Consider the following 12,527-nt stretch of genomic DNA (forward strand, 5'->3'; position numbering starts at 1 on the left):
GGGTTGAGTTGACAGGGGTCTTGGCTGTCAGGCATCTTGCGGCTGGGTTCTGGAGTGGAGAAAAGTAGAGAAAAGGAACTTCTGGGACAGAGACCTTGGGGATGAGATGCTTTCTAGCCCTGGGATTCATTCTTGAGCAAGACCTTTAGTGGAACTAGCATTGAAGTTCTGACATCCTACTTGGAGTTGTGCCTCAGTAGAACAGTTTCAGAACTGTTGGGGCACAGGCACCCATATAATTATGCCTGATTATCGGATCACAGGCCGACAGAGATGATGCTGCCATGAGTGTCAGGTTGTACTCCTCTCCTGGAGGTAGAAGGGCTCCCCATGGAGCACAGCTAGCTGCCCAGGCACAGCCAGAGCAGGTGGGACCTCTCACTGACTCATCCTATAGTAGCAATAGGTGAACAAGTTTCACTTGATTTTACAATCCCCCTGGGTTTTTTCCCTTTCCTGTAACCTGAGAAATCAGCAGTTCTAGGTGTTATCTGCGGCCTTACAGTTTGAGGCAGCTCTCAGACAGTGGCGAGCTTTGCATCTTATGTGGCTGTGAGATGTTCTGAGAAGAGAAACTGAGGCCAGGAGATGGGAGGCCTGGGTGAACTGTGGGCTCCACCTGGGGAGATCCTGGGAACAATGACAAGTGTGCAGCCTTTCTCTGTTATAAGACATTGTTCATTTAACCTCACAGTTTTTTAGGTGAGGGAACAGAAACTCAGTTAGGATGTTGTGCCTGCTCTGGAAACAGTGGCAGAGCTGGGACCAAAACCAAGTCTTCTATGTGCAATTCCTATGTCCCTTTGTGCCAAAATAGAGAAGTCCCTTGAGCCTAAAAACCCAACAGTATTAGAATTTGTAAACTAAAGACAATAACATAGTAGATGCTTGTTATTAATCTGCTAATAACAAAATACCACGGGTTAGATACTTTAAGCACAGCAATTTATTTTCCACAATTCTGGAGACCAGAATTGGTTTCTTCTGAGGCTTATCTCCTTGGCTTGTAGATGGTTGTCTTCTTGCTGTGCCGTCACGTGGTCTTCCCTCTGTGTGTGTCTGTGTTCTAATCTCCTTTTCTTATAAGGATATCAGTCATAATGTGTTAGGGCCCACCTATATGACCTTCTTTTAACTTAATTGCCTCTTTAAAGACCCTATCTTCAAATACAGTCACATTCTGAGGCTCTGGAGTTAGGACATCCACATATGGATTTTAGGGGAGATATAATTCAGCTCATGACAATGCTTAACACATGTTTATAGTATTAAAAATATCTACTCACTACAGTTAAGGGAGTTTTGTGAGGCTTGATGGAGACAACTCATTCATTCTTTCAATCACAAAATGCTTACCGAAGATGTCTTCTTTAGATACTTGAGTGCTTTAGATACAGTACTGCATTGAACATTGCAGCAACATGACAGGCTTGTTGTCATTATTTCCATTTCACAGATGAGGAAGAGGAGCTTTAGGAAAGGATATAAATCTACTCCCAAAGTTGTACACAGAGAACGGTGGAGTTGGGATCGAACTTGCATCTCTGCGGACAACCTCATTGTTAGAAAAAAAGCAAGTGAAAATATTCTGTTTTCAGGATATTCTCTGAAATTCTGTTCCTTTCCCACGTGCCCAGCTTTTGCCTGCACTGAAATTATTAAACTGACAAGGGGGGCAGGTGGGTAGAATGCAGATACTATTGCTTTCAGAGAATCCAGCTCCATTGGGCAATCCTTTCTTACTGTCTCAGCCGGGAGAAAGAGCCCCTAGCCAGAGGGAATCAAATACTTTTCAAATGTCTCATTAAAATAAAAAGGTGATTCTTGCATTGGTCCTGTGATAAAGACTACAAAGCAGCACCATGAAAACTCCCTGGTTTACCCTTCTGAATAGGCCTCAGCTCCAGCAGCAGAATGAATTAGCGGCCACCCCATTATCTGTAACCCTTAGAGAGCGCAACCCAGGCTTTGATCTGCCAGTGTCAAGGAAACTGATAAAAACTCGTTCTGTTTCTAAGCTTTCCAGGCCTGAAATTCTCTTTTCCCTTCAGCACGCTATAAATGACCCTCTGAAGTGGCTAGGCATTCTTTCACAGTCTTGTTTCCAATCTATTCATAACCACGGTTATCAATTATTATACCAGCTGGAATTTCTGAGGGCCAGGAGGCTGTCAGGAGCTCTAATTGTGGTTCAGGGATAAAAGCAAAAACACACAAATTTTAACCAATCATAATTAACTTATTCTCCAAGTGCAAGGAAAAAAGAACCCCCCCCCCAAAACAAAACAACACAAAACCAAGGCCTATGAATCCCCTCCACTAATCACTCTTGAAAGCAGCCAGGAAGGGGGAGAGGGACTCTTTTATTACCATGGTCGCTCCTGATTGGCTCCCAGAGGAGGAGTGGGGCCAACTGGCAACCAGAGAAGTTCTTAAATCATCAGGGCTTTTTTTTTAATCTTAAAAAACCCTCATTTTTCAAAGTAGCATGATGTTTTCCAAGCTCCTGACAGAGCTTTGAATAAAGAGGCATCAATTTCTCATTGAACCCAAACAACTGACTGAGTGGCCCAAAATATTTCACTAAAAAGAAGTGCAGTGGCAGCTATCACATTAATAAAGGAGGCGCGTGTGACCTGGAAGGAGGCCCCGAGTCATCCGATCCCCAGGCGCAAGGTTAGGCAACAGGTTGAGCTGGGGAAAGCCTTACTTAGCACAGTCCCGGCACTTAGTAGGTGCTCAAGGGGCTAGCTCCTGTCCCCGCCCTGCTCCCTTCTTAGACTGGCCAACAGCCAGATGTCTTGGAGGCATCTGGCTAGTGGCAACGGCATCTGAATGGAAGGCCCATGATGTCATGGAAAAGGCACGGCTTTGGAGTGTGACAGCTCTTCGTTTTTAAGCCTCTCTGAGACTCAGTGTCCTCTCTTACAATGGTGATAGCAGGCCCAATTTGTAGAGTTGCTATGGGGGCAAGGGATAAAGCTCTTAGCAAAGTGCCTGACATAAGGTGGGTGCTAAGTAAATGTTTGCTGTGGCTCCCGATGCTGCTTTGGGGATATGTGGTCACTTCTGGCACAGGGCTTCAAAGACCACCTCCTCTTTCTATATTGCCTTTCAGCATCTGCACAGAATTCTTCTGCAATCCTTGTTAGGAAAGCAGATCAGAGGAAGGGTTAGAGTCGTCTTATAGCAAACATGCTGGGGAAGGACATCAAAAGAAGAGACAAAACAGCATTTTCCAGGACAAAGAAAAGAAGGCATTAATGAAACGATTAAGCAATATCATTCTTTCCATGTAGAGCATCTGGTTACAGAAAACCATATTTTTGCTTTCATCACTGGTATTTAGCACTGCGAAAGCACTGAAGAAGATCTCACCAGTGTGTATTTATATTGTGTTATGAGATCAAGAATCCAAGTGTATTTGTAACATTTGTTGATAGAATTGCAGCCCAAGGAGCTTGAGACTTTGATATATAAAAGATGTGAAGTATTCTCTTGGTAGTTTTTGTTCACAGAAGCAGACATAACCATGTCCTAAAATTTTTTCACAAAGGAGCATTTTCTTGAAATATTTACATACACGGTAGAAGAGAATATTTTCAAAACATGCTCCTCCTTGGGTCTAAGTTGGAGGATAGATCATCAGGATAATTAGTTTTAGCTGTCCCAAGAGTCAACCCCCCCCCCCACCCCCAATTGAAATAGCTTAACACAAGAAGAGTTATTCCTCACTCAGCTCACTCAGGTGACATCAGATGAGGGTGAGCATCCTTACTCCATCTTGTGGCCATGATGTGAGGACTATTCATCCAAGATTTTGACAACCTAGTAAGAGGCATACATTCCTGGGATAGCTTCAGCCACAAGTGATATAAATTACTTCCATTCATTCTGACCAAAACTGTGAATATGACCCTATTCTAATCACAAGGGAAACTGGAAAATGTAGGGGAGCACATGAAATATTTGCTGAGCAGAAATGGTCTCTGCCATAAGAAACATTAGAGATGGTCCCTTGGCTCTGTACCCATGGCATAGGAATGTTCTTAGGAGGGAAGAGAAATGAGATAAGGCTGTTGGAATGCAGGTTCCTGAACAGAGTAGCCCACGGCATAGGGTTGCCTCTGCCCCAGGCAGGAGTTTATAATCTCCAAAGCGCATGGGAATCTGTAGCAGTACCAATGAGTTGATATTTGGGGGCAATGCATGGAATTTTTTGGCACCAGCAATTTTCAGCACGGAGTAAGGATTTCTATGTCAAGCATAGATCAAGAAGATCCATCCGTACTCAGGAAAGGGACTCTGGAAAGGGGCTGTCAGGATGTTGATCAGCGGTGAAGGCCCCTGCTCACCAGCCTAGGGCTCAGGGTTGGAATTCAGCTGTAAGTGGAAACTGATGAGAAATGGCCACCTGCTGGAAGGCTGGGCAGGCAGAGAGACTAGTTCCATACAATGGGAGTAAGATAAGGAGGCTGTGGCCTTAGGGTAATGCAGGTGCCATGGTGATGTTCACCCCAATGAATATCTGCTAAGGGAGTAGAGAATAATTCTGGAGTGCACTGGAGGGATTTAAGGGAGTCCTATAAAGCCAAAAAGGTCAGAGTGGGCTGAGCCTGCAGGGGGGTAGGTATTTTTAATGGTTTCTGGGAGGGGCTGGGCAGACTAGGACAGATAAAATATATGATATGTTCCTATACAGTGATGCCTGAACTGATAATAATTGCTGCTACTTTAAGTGACTTTTGGGTCAGCTTCTCTCTTTCAAAGCTAATCATCTAAAGGAAGAATGAGATCCTACAAAGGACTCAGTAGGGCAAGTCTGGCAGAGAAGAGACTTATGATAGTAATTGTGAGCCTGGTACATGCAGTGCTTTTCATTTTAATCCATGTGCTGATTTGTCCCTCACTGAGTTTATTAGGCAGGCAAGGATTATATTTGTTACTATGATATTAATGAGGAAGCTGTGATCTTTTGGAAAGCCAAAGTGATCAGCTCATAGATGAGCAGCTAACACATCACTGCTGGAATTCAAACCCAAACCTTCTGATTCTAGTTCTGTGATATTCCTTGCCTGTTAGCAGAAGGAAGCAATGACTGTAAGAGCTGCTGTAGTGGCACCTGCCACTTTTCCTCCTTCACTTTCTCCATCATCATTATCAACACCCTCATCACCACCCTCAACATTACTATTATCACCATCATCACAACCACCAAACTCACAACCATCAACTCCAACATCACCTCCATCATTACCATCATCATCACCATAATCACCATCATCATCACCACCATCACCACCATTATCACCATCATCACCATCAATACCATTATCACCGTCAGCACCATCATCACCATCATTATCAACGCCATCATCACCATCATGACCATCATCATCATCATCACCATTATCGTCATCATTGCTATCATCATCATCTTCTTCATCCTAAAGATAATCCCATTGCTCAGCAATGAGTAATACCTATCCTTTCAGTTTGTTCCTGGTGGCATTGAGTTTGCATTAATTCATTCAAAAATCCTCACTCACTTCCTAACCAATAATTTTATTCAACAAAGGGTGATAATTATTTGGTGTAAAAAATAATAATCATCATTTCATTTAGCTTCAAATTTTCTCCTTGTACCTTCTCAAGGGGCAGCACAGAAGACCCAGTTTTATCTGAGAAACCAAGGAAAATGAGTCTAGGAGGGTGAGAATGGTCATTTGGTCATTCAATCTATCAATGAACAGCCACTACTATACCATGTAGTGCTCTGTAGTTACCAAAGACAGCACCTACTATACCATGTGCTGGCTTGGGGCTAGATGGTGGCATAATAGAGATAAATAAATTTCATTCCCTGCTGTTGGGGTCTACAGTCTGGTAAATGCTACGCTTCATTGGATCTCTGTAGAAGTGAATTCTTGATTCTTCCTTTCTAAATTTTATTTTATTTCAACAGTTTTGGGAGAACCGGTGGTTTTGGTTACAAGTATAAGTTCTTTAGTGGTGATTTCTGAGATTTTGGTGCAAATAACATCAGGAAAAATCTCTTCTTGATTTTTTTTTCATCTCCAAAGTTTTTGAGCTCTATCTTCCAACTCAAACATTGGGCCAAATGTTTGAACTTACATGTAGAGAACACATTTGAGAATATTATCCCATGATTGTACCCTAGACCACTAGGGGGTCAGCAAACTATGGCCCAAATCAAGCCACCTGTATTTGTTAATAGGGTTGTGTTGGAAGACAACCACACCCACTCATTTAAATATCAGCTACGACCACTTTGGAGCTACATCAGCAGACTTGAGTAGTTTCAACAGAAAACATATGGCCTGCAAAACCCAAAATAACAAATATCCTGCCCTTGAGGAAAAGTGTCCTGGCCTCTGCCCTAGATTCTGCCTTAGATCCTGTTATTATAAATGAACTATTGTGCCTGTCTAAAGCCATGACCTCTACTTGCACACTAGTTCTTATTCCCCCATCTACTCAAGAACATCATGTTGACTAGTTTCCCTTCATCAGTTTTTCACACTCTACTGGATTATTCCATCAGATTACAAACATGCTGTTATTTCTCACATTTTAGAATACAAAACAAAACCTTCTTCTGCCCCTCTTATTCCACCAGTTACTGCCCACTTCTCAATACTTCTTTGCAGTGCAACATTTCAAAAGAGTTGCCAACTCTTATTCCACTTCTACTACTCTTTTTTGAACTTACTCTGACATTGCAACTGTTTTTGTTAACATCACTGATGACCTTCAGTTTGCCAGATCCAATGGTCAGTTCTTGGTCTTCATCTTACTTGACCTCTCTTCAACAGTTGACACAATCAATCCTCTTGCCCTCTTCTGCCTTTACTCCTTTTCCTCACCTGACTTCCAGAACACAGAATTTCCACGTCTCCCTCCCACCTCTCTTCTGCTCCTTCTCAGCCTTTTGTCTGATTCCTCCACTTCTCCCATAGTCTAACCTTTGGAGAGTTTGAGATGCAGTCCTTGGTCTCTGGTTCTCTCTTCACCCACTTCCTTGATTTTTTCCTTTACTTTTGTCGTAGTCAGTTCAGGCTGCTATAACAAATTAGCCTAGTCTGGGTGGTTTAAACAGCATTTATTCCTCAGGGTTCAAAAGTCTGGAAGCCCAAGATCAGGGTGCCAGCATGGTGAGAGCCTCTCTTTTGTTGTATCCTCTCATGATGTTTCCTTGGTGCAGGCACAGAGAGAGATACAGTAATTCCATTACGAAGGCCTTGCCCTGGTGACTCATCCAAAACTGATGACCTCTGAGAGGTCCAGTCTCCACATACCATCATATTGGAGATTAGAGATTCAACATATGAATTTGATGGGCACACATTCAGTTCACAGCAAGTCACATGGCTTTAAATACCACCTATATGCCGAAGATCCCTAGATTTTTACCTCTGCCCTAGTACTTTGTCTTTTTATAAGGCTTGTATCTCACTGCCTGCTCAACAGATACGCGTGACTGTGGATGAGACATCTTAACATTAACATAAGGAAAATGGAAACTTTAATAACTCCTCCTCATATGCACAGTAGTTGAGGCACTTACACTGTTTAAGCCCCACACCTTAGTCATTCACGTCTCTTCTTTAACATCCCATGTCCAATCCATCAGGAAAGCACACCAGTTATATCATCTTGTCCATTGCTTTGCTACCTATGAGTCTCCAGGCATCTCTCACCTGGATATTACTACAATTGCTTCCTGTTTTCCCTGCTCCTACAGTGGCTTGCCAACTCCCCACCAAGCCCCCACTCACCACATCCTCAGTCTATTCATAACAGAGTGGTCAGCTACTCTTTTAAAAATAGGTCCGACTGTATCCCTCCTCTCCTTAGTTCTCTCCAATGGCTCCCCATTTCACTCATATTAAAAGCCAAAGTCCTTCAACAGGCTGGTAGGACTTTTTAAAATTTTTTTATTTTTTTATTTTATTATTATTATACTTTAAGTTGGTAGGACTCTTATGTCACCTGGTTCAACATGACCTGGCCCTACCATTCTGATCTCCTCTCTGCTTTTCACCCCTCACTCTGCTCCAGCCACACTAACCTTCTTCAATGTATTGAACATGCTAGGCACCCTGATACTGCAGGATTTTGCACTGATTGTCTCCTATGTCTGAAACTCTCTTCCTGCAGATATGCAAGTCTTTGCTTAAATATTGCTGCTCAATGAGGACTATTTACATTTTACTTTATTAAAATTGCCAGCTGACTTCTTCAGCATTTTTTTCCTCCATGAGTTATTTTCCCCATAGTGTTTGTCCCCTTCCATTATGCTAGATTCTTCAGTTAACTGTTATATCTGTTGCTGATAATTCACTTCCCTTTACTAGAATGTAAAATCCCCTGGGAAGGTGATGGTTGTCTCTTCTGTTCACTGATTTATCCCACATGCCATGAACAAAGCCTGGCTCCAGTAAAGGCACTCAACAAATATTTGTCCAATTAATAAATCATTAAGTATGAGCTACTGATCAGTTTAGACAGTGAGTAACATTCTCTACTCTTAAAAAGAAAACACTGGCAGCCAGAGATAGACTTGGGAAACTGTCAGGAAGAGGCAGCCGCAGAACAGCCCAGGATGTTTCGGCTTCCGTGCTGCTGACCACCGGTCAGAGGTTCCCAGGGCACATGGCTAAGTGGAGCTCACTGCAGGAGAGGCCTGCATGTCCCAGATAAGGAGGCATCATGTGCGGTGGCTGTGGCTATGATGAGTGCAAGGACTATTTTTACATAACAGAGGAGAAGATAATCCTACAGACATGATGTCAAGGTCTGAAAAAAGTTGTACCATCTCAGGCAGGCTGGCAAGTGATGCTGTTTAACCCAGAGGCACCTCATTAGCAGACAATGTTTGGAAGCCTTACAAAGGAATGTATAGGTTGTTTCTAGCCAGGAAAGATTTCTTTGTGATCCCATGGTGTTCTATGGCCTATGAGTGGCTTGAGGAGCTCTCCTGGGGTTGGATAAGCACAGATTGGGGGTCAGAAGAGGATTTGAGGCTGTGTCTCTGTAACTTGAAAGTCTTCTACATTGGGCAAGTTTCATAACCTCTAAACACTTCGATATCCTTTTCTGTACAGTGGTGATAAAAGTGTCTACTTTTTAAGACTGAACTTAGGATAGAATAAAACCACAAATGTGAGTGATTTTATCAGTTATAAAGAGAGTATAGGGCAATTCCTATGATTATACACAAAGACAAAGAATGAGTGACTATCTAATGCAAATCTGTGAGATATCACTTAATAAACCCCAAACAATCAACAATGATTTGCTGACTACTTATGTTAAACCCAACATGTGTTCAGCACTTCAAGGGTTAGAGAGTGTGGGGCAGGGCCATTATGCGTGAGGAGTGACCAGCCTTGTTATTCACTCATACAGTCATGGAGCAAGGCAAGACAGCATTTCCACAATTCTGATGTGTAGTTGACTGTGTCTCCTGATCTTATTTAATTCAACTGATATTCTATTGATTTATTACTATGATCCAGGCCTTTAAGATAAGTTATATCAACTGAGGAAATATTTATGGATCTAGTTTGCAGATGAGGAATTGTAGTGTCTGATTGGTAAAGTGGGTATCACAATATTGCACGTGGCAGAACCAAGCTCTGGATTTTTCTGATTTCAAGTCCTGTGATTTCTCCTTGGTCCATCTATGTCACATATGAAAGCCATCTTTCTTTACCCATAGGAGTATGGAAACTTAAAAGAGGACACACTGGCCAGGCACGGTGGCTCAGGCTTGTAATCCTAGCACTTTGGGAGGCTGAGGCGGGTGGATCACCTGAGGTCAAGAGTTTGAGACCAGCCTAGCCAACGTGGTGAAACCTCGTCTCTACTAAAAATACAAAAATTAGCTGGGCGTGTGGTAGGCGCCTGTAATCCCAGCTACTCGGGAGGCTGAGGCAGGAGAATCGCTTGAACCCAGGAGGCGGAGGTTGCAGTGAGCTGAGATCGTGCCATTGCACTCCAGGTTGGGCAACAGAGCAAAAAATCCGTCTCAAAAAAACAAAAACAAAAACAAAAATGACACACCAGTACTGTGAAATCTCACTTCAACACACATTTGTTTCTATGAAGTTAATGTTTGTGTCCCTACGAAATTCCTGTGTCGAAGTCCTAAACCCCAATGTGACGGAATTTGAAGGTGAGGACTTTGGGAGATGATTAGGTCCTAAGGGCGGAGCCCTCATGAGTGGGGTTAGCTCCATCTTATGAAGGACCCCAAGAGATCTCTCCCCCTCTTTTCTTTCCCTCTTTCAAATGTTTTTTGACTGACAGTACAAACAAAAGAATGAAGGGATGAAGATGCTGAATTCAAAGTACTCTAAGCTCTTTCAGCACTTTGATCTTAAATTTATGTGAAGTTTGCACTGTAGCTTAATCATTTGTATAGACTGTTTCTGCTTTTATCTTTCTTATTTTTAGTCATTTACCGAATTTATTTTTCTATTTTAAGAAAAATTTTAATTGACACATAATAATAGTATACATATGTGGGGTACAACAGAATGTTTCGATACATGGATACATTGTGCAATGATAGGATCACAGTAATTAGCATATCTAATCACCTCAAATATTTATCAGTTCTTTGTGGTGAAAACAATCAAATTGCTCTCTTCTAACTTCTTTTTTGAAATATACATACATTAGTGTTACTATAGTGGGCCTGCTGTGCACTGGAACACCGGAATTTATTTCACCCATCGAACTGAAACACTGTACCAGTCGTCTAACCTCTCCCCAACCCCTTCACCATTGTGCCCTCTAGCCCCTAGTAACATCTATTTTACTCTACTTCTATGAGCTCAACTTTTTGAAGTTCCACATAGGACTGAGATCATGTCATGTTTGTTGTATTTCCATGCCTGGCTTGTTTCACTTAACACAGTGCCCTTCAGGTTAGTCCATTCTGTCACACATGGTAGAATTTTATTCTTTTTTATGGCTGAATAGTATTTCATCACGTACATATACCACATTTTTTTTATCCATTTGTGCCATTCAACAAATGTTTGCATATATTTGTGCCCAGGCACTGTCCTAGGAATAGGTAAATGGCATTAAACAACAGAGTCAAAGTCGTTGCCCTCAAGAAGCTATCATCCCAGAATCAGAATGGGAAACAGACCATAAACAAACAAGCAGAGCATGCAATATAAATCCGGGGGCCAGGTGCAGTGGCTCACGCCTGTAATCTTGGCACTTTGGGAGGCCGAGGTGGGTGGATAATTTGAGGTCAGGAGTTGGAGACCAGCTTGACTAACATGGCGAAACCCCATTTCTACTAAATATACAAAAATTAGCCAGGTGTCATGGAGGGCACCTGTAATCCCGGCTGCTTGGGAGGCTGAGGCATGACAATCACTTGAACCCAGGAGGTGGAGGTTGCAGTGAGCTGAGATTGTGCCACTGCACTCCAGCCTGGGTGACAGTGAGACCCTCTCTCAAAATACTACTAGTACTACTACTACTAATAATAATAATAAATAAAAATAAATCCAGGTACTGATAAACTAAAGAAAGATGTCAGAAGGAGATGGAGATTCTTTTTTAGGAAGGGGGGACTTTGAAGGTGAGAACATTTAACTGAAGATCTGATGAAGTAATATTTTATAAAAAATAAACTATTTTATACTGTAAGTTATTATGAGCCAATGCTTGCCCTTCAGTTGCACCCTAGGCCGAAACTATCTTTGCAGCCACCCTGCAATATAGGTTGTCTCATCGTGGCTTGAGGAAGGATGTGGAACTTCTCACAACATCACAAAGCACGTGTTGCACCATTGGACATTTACAATTTTTAAGTGGTTTTGCTTTTTACTGAACTCAAATATGTTTTCCATTTAACACCCACTGGAACTAGTTTTTCTTTCTGTGAACAGAAATTGCCAATTGTTCATCAAAATCTTAATTGTCTTCTTTTTGGACCACAGCTGGGTTCCATTTCTCTATCTCCTCTGCAGTTGGGTGTGGCCATGTGGACATGCACCTGAATTATAGCTGAGGAAATACCGGCAAATTGATGCCCCTATAAGGCCTGGCCCATAAAATCCTCGGGCATGAGTGCCCTCATACTTATTTCTCTGTCAGCTGAATCCAGACGATGATGCAGCCCTAGCAGCAGAACCACAGAAAAACTTGGAAGGAGTTCTGGATCCCAGAATTACCAAGGGAAGGAGGGAAATCTCATGCACTTATTTACTTTCCCAAGACTGTCAACATGAGCTAGAAACAACTTTTGATTTTGTTAAGCCAATACCTGTTAAAGTGTAATTCTATAGCTGTGTTGAGTGTCTTTGAGTTTAATTTTATAGCAGCAAAATTTGTGTTTGAGCTTAATTTTATAGCAGCAAGTCTAATATAACTATGGCACTCTGGAACAGAACAATATATCTGCCAGATATCCATGGCTTTCCATACCTCTGATATCATTGATTGTATTTGCAGACCTATCTTAATATCAAAAT

At 42.1% G+C, this 12,527-nt stretch overlaps 1 long non-coding RNA gene across 2 annotated transcripts in view; it reads left to right on the forward strand.

The window, feature by feature from the left end:
• Positions 1–12,527, forward strand: part of LOC107985855 (uncharacterized) — a 78,008-nt gene that overhangs the window by 49,757 nt on the left and 15,724 nt on the right. The window contains exon 3 of one of the 2 annotated variants that reach the window (XR_001739300.1): positions 1,457–1,749. The exons of the other annotated variant lie outside the window; for it this stretch is intronic. This is a non-coding gene — a long non-coding RNA (uncharacterized LOC107985855). Of the gene's footprint in view, positions 1–1,456; positions 1,750–12,527 lie in introns of those variants that run through there. 2 annotated transcript variants of the gene reach the window in all.

The sequence above is a fragment of the Homo sapiens genome, chromosome 2 (assembly GCF_000001405.40).
Source record: "Homo sapiens chromosome 2, GRCh38.p14 Primary Assembly".
NCBI classification, from domain to species: Eukaryota; Metazoa; Chordata; class Mammalia; order Primates; family Hominidae; genus Homo; species Homo sapiens.